Source organism: Homo sapiens, chromosome 6, assembly GCF_000001405.40.
Source record: "Homo sapiens chromosome 6, GRCh38.p14 Primary Assembly".
NCBI lineage: Eukaryota > Metazoa > Chordata > Mammalia > Primates > Hominidae > Homo > Homo sapiens.
Window position 1 is genome coordinate 26484472 of NC_000006.12, and position 15448 is coordinate 26499919.

A 15448-nucleotide genomic window follows, 5' to 3' on the forward strand; every position below is an offset into this window, starting at 1 on the left:
ATACCTCTACTAGTAAAAATTTCTTTTATAGATGTAAATTTTTCTTTACAAAAGGGGTGTTTTATAATTCATTTCAGACAGTTGAGGGGAAGGCAAGGAGATTTTTCTATGTTGGCTGGTCTTTAATTTCTTTTAGCTCAAAAAGATCAGTATGCCAGGGTGGCATATTTTGAGATGGCATATTCTGGTCTCCTGCACTCATATTTTTGGATGGTGTGTCCTGAAACTCAGCACCCAGAAGACGTCACTTGCAAGCTTTGTCCTTATTTGATCTGACGCAAAGCTCACCAAGTGTGAACAGGGTTTTCTCTGGGAGCATTTGTTGACAATAACCAGTGACAATTGTTTAACATCACAGCTGTCTGAGATGGTGGGTAATCATTGGAGCAAACAATAACTAAAAAGCTTAATAGGAAAGGCTGAGGAGTGAAATATATACAGAGGGCTTTGAAAATCTCTGACGTATTTCTTGGATTCTAGAAGTCCACACATATACATAGGGTTGTGCACATGCCCAGGGCTGTGTGTGTGCTCTGGAAAGACCTGAGAAGGCCCTAAGTTCTCACTCTAGCTGATCTTGAGGCTCTGTGTGGCCTCATCCTTCACAGGATGGGGACCCACTGCCACCACCACCAAATTCCTGGTCTCAGAGTCATGTAGAGAGGGCCTGGCCATCTTGACTACCACAGCACAGCACACTCTACCCCATGCCTGGTGGTAAATGAGCTCTTCCCTCTGGTCACATAAAAGGACCTCTTCCAGTTGCCCCATTGACACCCATTTTAGGCCCCAAACCCACCTCTCTTCCCGATTAAACTGTTGCCTTAGTAGCTCATTAGCTTATAACCATAGGGCGAAGTCCCGTCTCAGGGAAACTATTGCTGCCACAGGGTTGTCAACCAAGGAGAAAAGTGTGAGAAAATGACATGTTGTAAACCACTTGCTTTAACATCAGGGTGGCACATTCAACCTAATGCTTGATTGACACTGTACGCTTGGACTTACAGTCCTCTCTCTATATATATGGGGGGGGGGTGGGGGGAGAGAGAGAGAGACAGAGAGAGAACTACGGGGCCTCCTAAGGAGAAGAGGAAACCACAAATGAAGGTCAGAGACAGAAGTGGATAGAAAGCTGGGAGAGGGAAACAGCTGTGAGCCTGATTAAATCCCACCATGACAGCTATGAGGCCCAGGAGTTGACAGCCCATTTCCACCCAACCTCAAAGATTTCCAGTCCACGCTGGAAATCTCCAGGCCTAGAACTGGGATGAAGGAATATTGTACTCTAAGTTTCCAGGAGAACAAACTCATGATAAGCTGACTTGGTTCAGGTGATCCTAGAATAACTAAGGCTGTAGGCATGGTTACCCATGACCTGAGTTTGAGCTTACTGGCAAGCAAGTAAGTAGTGAACCCGGGCTATCATTAGGTTCATCCTCAGTAGCTGGAGGGGACTAAAAGTGAGCCGGGCATCTAAAGTGATGGCTTCAAGGGTAGTGTTTTGGATTCAAACCAATTCAATAATGCATTTTTGTAATAATGACCTGGAAAAAAAATGTTTTAAAAAAATAAACTTATCAATGTTGGTCAAAACCATCATTAATGCAGTAGTCAGATCTGGAAATATTTAATAGGAAAGTATAAAAACCGGTCTTTTATGGCTGCAGCTCTAGAGGAGTTGTATGCTTTTTTCATTTATTTCTGGTATTGCTGATACTCTTTGAACAGTTTTGTTTAAAGAAAGGGTACAACACTAAGTTTCAGGAAGAGAGAAATTCAGCCGTGGTCTCGCTGGTTGTATTTTTAAAAAGTCATTTTATTAGACCATTTTCACATTGCTATAAAGAACTATTTGAGACTGGGTAATTTATAAATAAAAGAGATTTAATTGACTCACAGTTCTGCATGGCTGTGAGGCCTCGGGAAACTTACAGTTGTGGCAAAAGGTGAAGGAAAAGCAAGCACCTTCTTCACAAGGCAGCAGGAGAGAGAGAGGGAGGGGTGAGAGGGAAAGTGTCACACTTTTAAACCATCAGATCTCGTAAGAACTCATTCACTATCACGAGAACAGCATGGTGGAAACTGCCCCCATGATCCAATCACCTCCCGTCACGTCCCTTCTTCAACACATGGGGATTAAAATTAAAGATGAGATTTGAGTGGGGACACAGATCCAAACCATATCAGTCTTATCTTCATGGTGTCTCTGTTTCTTCATCTGTACAAAGAGAGTTAAACCTGAGGACTTTTTAAAATGAATTTGTGTGTGCATGTGTGTTTAAGTTATAGAATGTTTCTATTCACTCTTTTAGAGTTCTCATGACAACCCTGTGAGACAGTTTATTTATTTTATTTTATTTTATTTTTTTCTTTGAGACAGAGTCTCGTTCTTGCCCAGGCTTGAGTGCTGTGGTACAATCATGGTTCATTGCAGCCTCAACTTCCTGGGCTCAAGCAATCCTCCCACCTCAGCCTCCTGAGTAGTTGGGGTGGGAAGCGCATGCCACCGCACCTAGCTAATTTTTTATTTTTTTGTGGAAACAGGGTCTCACTATGTTGCCCAGGCTGAGATAGAGATTATTAAGTCCATATTGTGGTTGATAAAACTGAGGTCTGGAAAATTTAAGTCTTTTCGTTTCTGAATATTTCCAGATAAAATAAAAAAGAAACTGTTTTGTTTTTTCTTTTCTAAATCCTACTCATCTATATCAATTAGCTATTGTTGCTTAGTAAACCATTCAAAAACTCAGTGGCTTTAAAAAGCAAGCATATCTATTGCTTACATTTCTACAAGATGACTTGGGTTTGGCTAATCTAAGTTAAGTTCAGATAGGGTGCTCTACTTCTCACCTGCCAGTTTATGTGTCAACTGGAATACCTCTGCTCTATGAATCTACCAACCTCCTGGGACCAGTAAGCAAGCCAAGGTATCTACTTCTCATGCTGCCAGCAGAGACAGAAGAGGATGAGAAGTGACAGTCGTGAGGCTTTTAAGTCCTATGATTAGAACTGGCACACTATCATTCTCACCCACATGCTACTGGCCAAAAAAGTCATATGGGCAAGCCTAGAGTCAAGAGGTAGGACATATATTTCACCCATGAAGAAGCATTGCAAAGGTTTCAGGGATGGCCAATAAGTCCTTCAACCACAACCTATCTCTAGGCCATAATTATTCATGTCTCTCACACATACAAAAATATCAATACATTCAATCCCAATCACGGGACCTTCAAAAGTCTTACCCATCCTGTCATCATTCTTAAAGTCCAGCACCTCATGTTCTACCTGAGGCTTGATCCAGCTCCTCTTGATCTGGAGACCAATGAACAAAAAAAGGGTAAGTCCATCCACCATCAGCATAGATCCCTGCATTACACACACACACCCAATGTACAATGGTGGAATAGAGGCAGAATTACCACATTAACTTCCGTTTGAGAGAGAATTATTGGAGACCCATAGCTGTCACAGTTCCACAGCAATTATGAAATGAAATCCCACTGGGCAAATGTTGCCATTCTTCCTTACTTTGTGATAGAGTCTGTTCCTTGATTAGGCTGTGGTTCTGTTCACTGGGAGTGGCTCTGGTGTCCTTGTCCTCCACAGCTCTTGGTTCCACCCTTTGGGAGAGTCTTCATTTTCCATCCTCCTCAGCCCCTTCTGAAGAGAACTTTAGAGAATAAACCATTTTGGTCTGCTGAGTAACTTTCTCGGCCAGCTTCATGGCATTCAAAATTGGGAGTCCAAACAATCTCAGTCTCTTCTAATGTAGGCTGACTTTGTCAATACAGTTTTCTCAAGGCTTTGTGAGTTTTCTTTGTATTTGATTTGAGTTCACTCGCATGTCAAAAGCAACACCCAAATTATTTTAGAGAAATACCTCTTTCTCTAAATCTTATTTGGGGTACAGCAAGCTGTTATGGGTCCACACCCTTTAAGCTACCCAGAAACCCTCTTGTACATTACCTTATTCCTTTCAAGGGATTTGAAAAGTATTTTGGTCTACACTGGGCTGTAATAATAACAGTAATAATAATAATAAAGAAGTATGTTACAGCCACACCCATCATTTGATCTTAAGCCAGAAGCCATATCTTACATGGCAGTCCCTGAATTTCATCTTTGCTCCCAGAGTATGTCAACTGCTGGCTGGAGATCTACTGTCTCATCTACACTCATAGATGAAAAACAGTTTTATTTTTCAACCCAGAAGCTCAAAGTTCTTTATCTTCTAAATTCTACTTAAAAGCTTGCCTGGGCCGTGCCCAGTGGCTCACACCTATAATCCTAGTACCTTGGGAGGGCGAGGAGGGTGGATTGCTTGAGGCCAAGAGTTCAAGACCAGCCTGGGCAACATGGCAAAACCCTGTCTCTACTAAAAATACAAAAATTAGCCGGGTGTGGTGGTGCATCCCTGTAGTCCCGGCTACTAGGGAGGCTGAGGCACAAGAATCACTTGAGCCTGGGAGGCAGAGGTTGCAGTGAGCGAGATCGATATTGCACCAGTGCACTCCAGCCTGGGTGACAGGGCAAGACCCTGTCTCAAAAAAAACAAAACTTGCCCATTCTTTCCTGAGCCCACCTCTTTCCTGCAGTATCTTGTATGCAACTAAAAGCAATTAACTCACATATCCAACATTTTGCCTGGAAATTTCTTTGCCTAAATCCAAAAGTTCATTAGATGACATTTTATATCTCTCAAGTTCTACAGGCAACAGTTTGAATAAATATTTGGTAAATACATAACACAGGTCGCCATTTCTTCTAGCCTTCTCTGAGGGAAAAAAGCAGGTTTTCTCTCCCTCTACTCACACACTCAAACACAGAACACTTTTGTGATCAGACATATGGGGTTGGCCTCTGCTAACCACAAGGCAATTATCCAGTGGACACCAATTGGGTATCTTATAATTCTATTCTGACACCATCTACCTGGAGATAGTGACAGATCTCACAAGTTGGGGGCTGGGTCCAATAAGACTGCACCCACTTCAGATGCCATTCTAAAATCTGCGCCACCCATTCTTCTGACCCAACAGCTACAAACCAGGGTTTCCACGACCTCTTTTTAGCAGGGAGGTTCATTAATTTGCTAGGATGACTCAAAACTCAGAGAAATGCTTACTTACATTTACTTGTTTATTCACTTATTTTTATTTATTTATTTTTTTTTGCTAAACATCTCCTTGCAGACATTTACTGGGTTATTGTAAAGAATATTACAAAAGATAAGCTCCACAGCCAGATGAAGAGATGGACAGGACAAGGTATGTGTGTGGATGGGAGGGCGACACGGAGTGTCCATGCCCTTTCTGGGCATACCATTCTCTAAGCACCTCCATGTGCTAAACAATCTGGAAGCTCACAGAGAGCTGTAGTTGTATAGTTATTGTCAGGCCTCTGAGCCCAAGCTAAGCCATCATATCCCCTGTGACCTGCACGTATACATCCAGATGACCTGAAGCAACTGAAGATCCACAAAAGAAGTGAAACTAGCTTTAACTGATGACATTCTACCATTGTGATTTGTTGCTGCCCCACCCTAACTGATACGATATAGTTTCCCCGGCCCTTAAGAAGGTACTTTGTAATATTCTCCCCCACCCTTAAGAATGTACTTTGTACACCTATCCCAAACCTATAAGAACTAGTGATAACCCCACCACCCTTTGCTGACTCATTTTTCGGACTCAGCTCGCCTGCACCCAGGTGAAATAAATAGCCTTGTTGCTCACACAAAGCCTGTTTGGTGGTCTCTTCACAGTGACAGGTGTGACAGTTATATAGTTGTATAGTTTGTGTAGAGCTTTGTCTGCAAACCCCATACCATTTCCTGGAGGTTGGCCAGTGGTGCTAAAAGTTCTAACCCTCTACTCCTCTGATCACTTAGTCTTTCTGGTGATTGGCCCTGTCCTGAGGCTATCTAGGGGCCCTACCCTAACTTATCGAATTTAATAGCTCAGGTGTTATCTAATTGGCTCACTATGAATAACAAAAGACACTCCTAAGAATTTTCACTCAGGACATTTCAAGGGTTTTTTTCTCAGTACAAAGACCAAATATATTTCATATTATACCACACCTTCCATAACAGTTTCCAGCCATTTTCAGCTTCCTATTAAGATTTTTTTTAGCTCCCGCCTATCCAAAATCAATGCCACGTATTTTTGGTTTTCAATATTGTAACACCTCACTTTCAAGTATCAATTTCTGTATTGTGTAGCCATCGCTGAGTAAAAAATCACCCCAAACTCACTGACTTACAACAACTCTTATTATTGTTCATCTTTTGGGTCTCAGCTGAGTGTGGCTGATCTAGTCTGATGATGAGTTCTCATGCCTTCAGGGTCCCCCCTTCCAACACCTGCCTAAATTAAAAAAACAAAACAAAACCAACACCTTCATAGCAGTGACCACATGGCCAGAGTTAGCCACTTATTCCAGAGTTTTTAGAGATATGAAACTTGCTCCAAAAATCTCCACTTAAAGAAACTGAAGATTAAGAAACAAAACAAAACAAAAACAAAAAACACAGATTGGGTGCAGTGGCTCAGGCCTGTAATCACAGCACTTTAGGAGGCCAAGGCGGGAGGATCACTTGAACTCAGGAGTTCAAGACCAGCCTGGGCAACAGAGCGAGACCTTGTCTCTACTAAAAATTAAAAAAAACAGCCTGGCTAACATAGTGAAACCCTGTCTCTACAAAAATACAAATATCAGCTGGGAGTGGTGGCACGCGCCTATAGGCCCAGCTACTCCTGCGGCTGAGGCAGAAGAATTGCTTGAACCCAGGAGGCAGAGGTTGCAGTGAGCTGAGATAGCACCACTGTGTTGTAACCAAGCGAGTTATAGAGAAATGCCACACTTTGAGACTAATTCAGGAGTCCTTTATTGCCGGCAACTGAGAGATGGCTAGCGCTCAAAATTCTCTTGGCCCCCAAGAAAGGGCTAGATTTTCTTTTACACTTTGATTTATAAAGAGGAGGGGGAGCCTAGCTGAAGCAATCTTACAGAAGTAAAACAGACAAAAAAAGTTAAAAGACAAATGGTTATGGGAAAACAAACAGTTCCAGGTGCAGGGGCTTTAAATCCATCATAAGGTGATAGATGCAGGCCTTTTGGATACCATCAACCGGATACAAATGTGGGGGCTTAGGGTACTATCAACCGGGCGAATACCTGGGAACTGTGGATATAGCTTGCCACAGTATCTTATCAGTTAAATGCATTCTTTGATGTGCTGGGAGTTAGCTTGCACAAGTTAACTCCTTGAGGAAGGGGGTGGGTAAGGGGCTGCAGGTGAAGAAGCCAAAATGGAGTTTGTCTGGCTCTCTCAGCTAAGGGAGAGTCAATTCAGGTTAGAACAAGGTAGGGTATCACAACTGTACTTCAGCCTGGGTGACAGAGTGAGACTACATCTCAAAAAATAAAAAAAATAAAAACAGCCGAGTGTGGTGGCACACATCTCTAGTCCCAGCTACTCGGGAGGCTGAGGTGGGAGGATCATTTAAGCCCAGAGGTTGAAGCTGCAGTAACCAAGCCTGGACAACAAAGCAGGACACTGTCTCAATAAATAAATAAATAACCAATACCTGAAGGAAAGTAACATCTCAATAGTGCCTGTTTAAAAAGCAGAGAGGGGCTCCTCAGGAAGCTGACTTATTCCTGATTCTGTGTGACTCTTGAGAAGGTAGAGAAAGGGAAGACAGAAGAATCTCCAAAGACGAGACCCCTTGCCACTTCATGTCACATTTTCCCCATTCCTACTCACCTCCCCTTATTCTCACTTTCCTGATCCTCCTCATTTCCCATACTGTATTTATTAGCTTGGAGGGATTTAAACATCAACTCCAATGGTTTATTTTTTTTGTTTCTTTTTTTCACAAGCCCTTTCTCATAATATCTCTTGCTTATCTCCCTCCTTCTCTCTCTCAGAAAGATTCAAAACTTTTTTGAGATGATCAGGTTGGACTTGGAGCCACTGTTTCTTGCTGTAGGAGGGAAGAATGGATTGGAGGACAGATGCAGCAGTCACAGAAGGCCCTGAGTCGCCCCCGACTCCCACACCAATCGTGCAATTAGGGGGAAAATACTTCCTCAGAGTTTCTCATCAACTTTTCTGGGGTATTTTGTTTTAGCTCCCTTACTCTAAGAGTGATTCTCTGCTCAGTGACTGTAACATGCCTCAGACTTCCCATTTAGACAATAATTTTTCTTTCAGAAATGAAATGGGGGGAAAACAGAAACGATGAATTTACTTCCTGGTCCATTTCACCATACCAGGCTATTTGTCAGGAATGTTCCATCCTGGTGGGGATTTAAACCTTAAACATGTGCTTGGATTCACACACTTTATGATGATTTCCAATCAAAAGTCATCTAAATGTATACATCTGGAATCTAGAAAATGATTCTAGGTTTTTCAAAATGGAAGGGACAATAAAAGTTATAAAAGCCAAATATGGCTGTGCGCAATGGCTCAAGCCTGTAATCCCAACACTTTGGGAGGCCAATGTGGGCAGATCACCTGAGATCAGGAATTTGAGACCAGCCTGGCCAACATGGTGAAACCCCATCTCTACTAAAAATACAACAATTAGCCAGGTGTGGTGGCGGGCCCCTGTAATCCCACCTACTCAGGAGGCTGAGGCAAGAGAATCCCTTGATCCCAGGAGGCGGAGGTTGCAGTGAGCAGAGATCGAGCCACTGCACTCCAGCCTGCAGGACAGAGTAAGACTCTGTCTCCAAAAAAAAAAAGCCAAATACCTTTTAGACCTGAAAGAGAATGAGGGCTCTGATTGAGAAAGAAAAAAAGCAGGCCTGACAGCTATCAGCTGAGAACAGGTCAGGCACTCCCAGCTAGGCTGTGTGTTTCCTACTGAAAGTAAGAAACTTCACAGAGCACTAAATATCAAACAAGGCTATTCTGTGACTGTGACTGAGTGAGATAAAAACAAGACCACTTCATAATCATGCCAGAGCACAGACAAAATGACCATACATACCCCTCTCCTGGCTAACCAGAGTAACTGCTGCTTCTTTACCAACTACAACTTGAGCCTTCTCTGTTCTCCTACCTCCTAATAAAAAGCACTGGAATAGGGCCGGGCACGGTGGCTCACTCCCATAATCCCAGCACTTTGGGAGGCAGAGGCAGGAGGATAGCTTGAGCCCAGGAGTTCAAGACCAGCATAGTGAGACCCTATTTCTACCAAAAATACAAAAATTAGCTGGGTTTGATGGTACACACCTGTAATCCCAGTTACTGAGGAGGTTGAGGAGGGAGGATCGCTTGAGCCCGGGAGGTGGAGGTTTCAGTGACCTGAGATGGCACCACTGCACTCCATCCTGGGTGACAAAGTGACACCTTGTCTCAAAAACAAAAACACACAAAACATTGTCTAATGCTTCATGACATTCATCCAGATCAATCCATTGCTTTCTTGAACATCTCCCAAATCACCTACAACAAATTCCTCCCATACTTTCTCGTGGGTGATGTGCTCCACCTTCCAATTCCCCATGGTGTGTGGAATCTGCCCACAGTGTGTGGAATCCAGGCTGCTGTAACAAGTATCCATAAACCCACTTGGTTGGGCTCCAGGGGGCTCCAGCTGATGAGGTTCAGCACGGCCACAGGTCAGAGCCCACTATAATCCTCCCAGTGCCACTCTACCCACCCCAAACTTGGCCCTAAGACTTTTCGTTCCCAGGTACAGCAAAATTTCCTAGCATCTAAAGCCAAAAGGAACTTCCCACAGATTTCTAAGAACAAAAACTGAAACAAAAAGCAAGTTCATGATTTACTGATAATGTTTCAGTAATCAGGTATTCACAGAAGGGAACAGTTGTTTCATTGTGTGTTTCATGCACACATTCCATCTTCCTTCCGACATCTTTAACTCAAATGATAATTTTTTTTTTCATTTTCTAAATACACTCATCAAAGGGCTTGAAAAATTCTGAGTTTTTACCCCTATTGTTCCACAGACAACAAACCTTTTATAAACCCCTCCGTTACTGCAAAATGGAAAAGAGCACAATTGTGTCCAGGTCAGAGAGTCTTCACTTCTCCAGGATTCTGAGCTCCTTCCTCCCAAGGGCTCAAGGCCTCACGATATATGAAAATGAAGAATATTTGAGACCCTGTCTCTACCAAAAAAAGGAAAGTAGGGTGAAGTCAGGACAATAATGAATTCATAGGCTGCTCCTAAGATGTCTAAGTCTTGCATTTTCACATTTATCATAGCCTGTCCTCGCGCGGGAGAATGTACACCTGTTTTGGAAGGATCTACCCCACCAGGTAACAGTAAGAAAGACTAAGATGAACAGATATGGAAGATAGCTCAGAGGCTGCAATGGGATAAATTCTGGGCAGAACTCAAACAGTGGTCCACGCAACCTTGATCCCTTCCCTGAACTCTTTCTCTCTTACTCAATCCAACCTCAATTTATTGGCTCCCATAAGTTCCCTGTCTACCCCTCTTGTTCTAGGAACTCTCCATTTCAAAAGTACTTCCAAGAATATAATTCAGGGACGTCCACACTCTACCAGATCTCAGCCTTTTGCTTCCCCAGGGCAAACCCCTGCTAACCCCTCTTCCACACAGAAGTCCACCATCTTCATCTCCACACCATCTTCACTTCACTTCCCCTCCACCTTCACATATGCAAGCTGTTGTGCATAAATTACACAAATTATAATTATAACATTATACAAACTCTGTATGTATAATTTTAACACGGGCTTGGTAAATAGCGGAATTATGTCACTGTAATAATGTTGAAGCACCATTAGGTCATATCTGATTATTACTACCATATCAATAGTGTGTGCCCCCAAGAAAGAGCAGCTGACCACAAAGCTCACTAGTAAGCCACAGAAGAATACAGTATTGTACATGATGCCCATTCACCCCAGTCCTTTGTCTTGGCTCAGTATGGCCACATGTATAACAAGCCCAAGACCTTGAGCCACAACCATCCCTCAGAGGCATCTCCATAATTCATGCAAAGCTGGTAGCTGCCTCTTCACAGAAAGCTTCTGAATAAGGAGCAAGATAAAGAGCTATAGCTGGGTGGGTGCAGTGGCACGTGCCTGTATTCCTAGCTACTGGAGAGGCTGAAGTGGGAAGTCCCTTGAGCCCAGGAATTTTGAGTCCAGCCTGGGCAACATAGCAAGACCACCCCCCAACCCCACACCCTACACCGAACACCACCCCCACTCAAGAAAGAGAAAAAAAAAAAGAGCTGTAGGCAGTAGATCTTGCCCTGTGGACCTGTGGACCAGAGCAACTAGCAGTGAGAATCCTGGTCCTATTCCAGACCTACTAAATCAGAATCTCTTTTTCAGTAAGACCCAAGTGCTGCTCTGGGAAGAATGAAGAGAGGGGATTGATAAATTACCTGATATGCTTGACTATGGAAACTGTGCTTAGAGTCAATTAGAGGAGTGGGAAAAACCTGTGAGGGGAATAAAGAAAACTAAACAAAGGAACAAAAATGAATCATTTCACCCCCTCCCTACTCCTAAAAAAACAAGAGGTTGTACATGAAAATAAATGTAATCATATATGATACTTGGTCCCGTAAAACTATAGTTACATAGCCACAGTATTGGAAATATGGAACAGAATTTGTGATGTATTACTACTGGTGGTATAAGAGAGCTAAATCATAATTGATCATAATAGGGTATAGAAAAGTAATATCTAGAAATGGATATATAGAGAAATAGCAGCATAAATATGGTATTGTCTCTAGAAATATGCAGATAAGTACCAGATAAAACAACTGAGCACTTAAAGAAGCTGTTTCTGGGGATTCAGGAGTAATAGGTTGGAAGTGGGAAGTGGAACTGACATTTCTTAAAAGCACTTTGTCCCATTTGGTTTTTTTTTTAAATACATGTAATACATATAAAGAGCTTTTTTAAAAACTTTGACAGAATGATATTGTCTTGAGAAATATGTAGATAAGTACCACATAAAACAACTGAACCACATTTAAAAAGAAAAGACGTTGACTGGGCGTGGTGGCTCACACCTGTATTCCCAGCAGTTTGGGAGGTCAAGGCAGCCAGATCACTTGAGGTCAGGAATTCAAGACCAGCCTGGCCAACACGGTGAAACCCCATCTCTACTAAAAGTACAAAAATTAGCCAGGCATGGTGGTGCATGTCTATAATCCCAGCTACTTGGGAGGCTGAGGCACGAGAATCGCTTTAACCCAGGAGGTTGTAGTAAGCCGAGATTGTGCCACTGCACTCCAGCCTGGGCGACAGAGTAAGACTCCGTCTCAAAATAAATAAATAGACTCAAATGGTTGCCTCAGTGATGAAAGTCAAGTAAGATGAGAACGAGAGTAACCATTGAATTTGACATGAGGATAACACTGAGAAATTTGAACAGATTATAGTGAAAAGCAGGGAGGGGAAACAAATGCTGACATTTTATCATTAGGTTCCATATGAAGCATATCATATTCCTCAGCCCAAATGATTTCATGTCTAAGAAGAAGAAGTTTTTGTTTCTATCTCGCAGTGGGCCTGGGAAGAGCAGGAACTTCCTAAGAGCAGCACCACTTCACAAGGCCTCTCCCATTCAGGAACCATGACAGGCAGGGGCATCCTAGGGGCATCCTAGAGGTTCTGTTCTCTAAACCTTGGGAAATTTAGAGATCCTGTCTTTCATTGTGTAAGACTGATGACTTGGTTTCTGTCAAAAAGACCCAGATGCTATCCAATCAAAATAGTGTCTGTTATGCAATAGCTTGAGCTCCAAGTACTTTCTTCTTCTTTCCCCCAGACCCTTTCTTTTCAGTATGGCTCCGTTAGTTGCAAGTAAAAGCTCTTTTTCCCCCCTGAAAACAATGTCTTATGAGAATATGAAGCATGAGACAAAAGTATCATTGAAAGGGGCTGATAAGAGAAGTGAAATGAGGAAGGGGAAATAGATTATAGGTGATATGATCAGAAAGTTAAGCATGAAGAGGAAAATGGGACAGGAGCCTTTCAAACTAGGAAGGCTAAGGAACGATGGGTTTGAATGAAGCCACAAATTCTATTTCAGTCTATGTGCTGATGAGAAGACAGGGAGTAAGAACTAGGAAAGCTCAGTTTAAGAGGGGAAGACAAGCTTGGAAACAAAAGATGACAATAAACACATCTGCTTCTGAAACTAGGGCTCAGATCAGGTGTCTGCCATGAGAAAGGGACCAAGTGTCACAGGATACACCTGGCCCATCTTCCAGGAAAGCCTACTTCTCTTGGAGGGGACAAAGGCTAATCAGGAGAAGCCCTAGAAGTGAGGTTGCATCTGCTTGATGCAATGTCTGAAAGACATTGCAGAAGGTGCAGCCCTTACATGAGCTTTTGAGGGAAGAATAGGAGTTCATCATAAAGATAAGAGGGAACAGGCTAGTCGCGGTGGCTCACACCTATAATCCCAGCACTTTGGGAGACCGAGGCGGGTGTATCACTTGAGGTCAGGAGTTCAAAACCAGCCTGGCCAACATTGGGAAACCCCACCTCTACCAAAAATACCAACAAAGCCAGGCGTGGTGGGGCACGCCTGTAGTCCCAGCTACTTGGGAGGCTAAGGCAGGAGAAATGCTTGAACCTGGGAGTCAGAGGTTGCAGTGAGCTGAAATTGTGCCACTGCCCTCCAGCCTGGGTGACAAAGTGAGACTCCATCTCAAAAAAAAAAAAAAAAAAAAGTTAAGAAGAGACAGAATATTCTGGAAGGGGGAAGGCAAGCACTGCTATCTGGAGGCCTGAGAGGCATTGTGGGTTGAGGTAACCACACCCACTCCAAATTCAGCCTGTGGGTGGACAAGCAGGGAAGGAGAAGGGGAATGGAGAAAAAGCCCTCAGGAAAGAAGCAAGGAGACTGCCAGAGTATTTTCTTGACCAGATCAAGCTAGACCTACAGTATTTTCCTAACCAGATTAAGGTGCATAAACTTGATGCTGAAGTCACTAGGGAGATGTGGAAGGATTTTTAAGCAAAAAGTGATATGATCAGATTTGCATTTGGGAAAGATCATTCTCTTGGCAGTCTGGTGGGTGAAATGGAGCAACTGTCTTTTGTCTTAATCACAATTCCAACTCAAAGATAAATAACAAAACTGGGAAGAATGTTTGTTACAAATATAATACAGGATTGATATTTTTAAGTTATTAAAATTCACACAGATTGCTAAGAACTAGCACCAGGACCAGTCTTGAAAACAATGGGCAACTGGCCTGAACAGCTCATTTCTAGAATGTATTAAATGTCTAATTAACACATAAAAAACTCCAGCCTCGCTAACATATAAAGGCACAATAAATAATAATTTAATTAACTTGACCCATCCCAATAGTAAGGATGTGAAATAATAACTTCTCAGTGCTAGCAGGGATTAGGTGAGGGCACCTCCATTGAGGGTGTGATGGATTCAACATTTCAGGAAGGGACTGTAGAAATATGCTGATACTAGGTCGGGCATGGTGGCTCACACCTGTAATCCCAGCACTTTGGGAGACCAAGGCAAGCAGATCATTGAAGCTCAGGAGTTCGAGACCAGCCTGGCCAACATGGTGAAACCCTGTCTCCACTAAAATACAAAAATTAGTTGGGCATGGTGGCACGTGCCTGTAATCTCAGCTACTCAGGAGGCTGAGGCAAGAGGAAAATCCTTTGAACCCTGGAGGCGGAGGTTGCAGTGAGCCAAGATTACGCCACTGCACTCCAGCCTAGGCGACAGAGTGAGATTCCGTCTCAAAAAAAAAAAGAAAAGAAAAGAAATATGCTTATACCATTTGATCTGATGACTCTATTTCTGGAAATTTATTAAACAGTTTATCAGGACATTATCCAATTTGCAAATAAAGACTTATATATAAAGTGTATTATTTACAATAGGAAAAAAATCCCAAATGTCCCACAATCATGGCAATTATACAACTATTAACAATATTTTGAGTTACACAAAAAGTCTAATTGATTGCTTTTATGATATACATAAGCATAAAATAAATCTTGGAAGGACTATGCCAAAATGTGAATTGAGGCTATCATTAGTTAGTAGATTAAGTGTGACCTCCATTTTATAAAAATATTTTTCTGTATTTTTAAATTTTTTCATAACAATGAGAGGTAGGTTTAGTATAAATTAAGGAATTGTAGGCCTCATGATGAGTTGCTTCAAAAGAAATAATTGTCAGGGAGGCAACTTTTGGGCCCTGTAAACAGAATTCACAGCCTACCCTTAAGACTGGCCTTTAATGGAGTTGTTCCAACAGACACAGCACCTAAGGTGGACGGACGCTCCAATAACGAAGATGGCTATAGACAGAGGCTACTGCTACCTTGGCCTCTGGGCTTTCATTTTTCAACCCGCAGAAATAATAATAGAATAACAATTTATCCTCCGCTGAGTTCCTACTATGTGCTAAGCACTTT

General features: G+C 42.5%; 1 long non-coding RNA gene across 1 annotated transcript in view; it reads right to left on the reverse strand.

The window, feature by feature from the left end:
- Positions 1 to 2177: 2177 nt before the first annotated feature.
- Positions 2178 to 15448, reverse strand: part of LOC107986583 (uncharacterized) — a 40750-nt gene continuing 27479 nt past the window's right edge. The window contains exons 2-4 of the long non-coding RNA XR_001744057.3: positions 3532 to 3673; positions 3246 to 3315; positions 2178 to 2218 (exon numbers count right to left, since the gene is read on the reverse strand). This is a non-coding gene — a long non-coding RNA (uncharacterized LOC107986583). The remainder of the gene's footprint in view (positions 2219 to 3245; positions 3316 to 3531; positions 3674 to 15448) is intronic.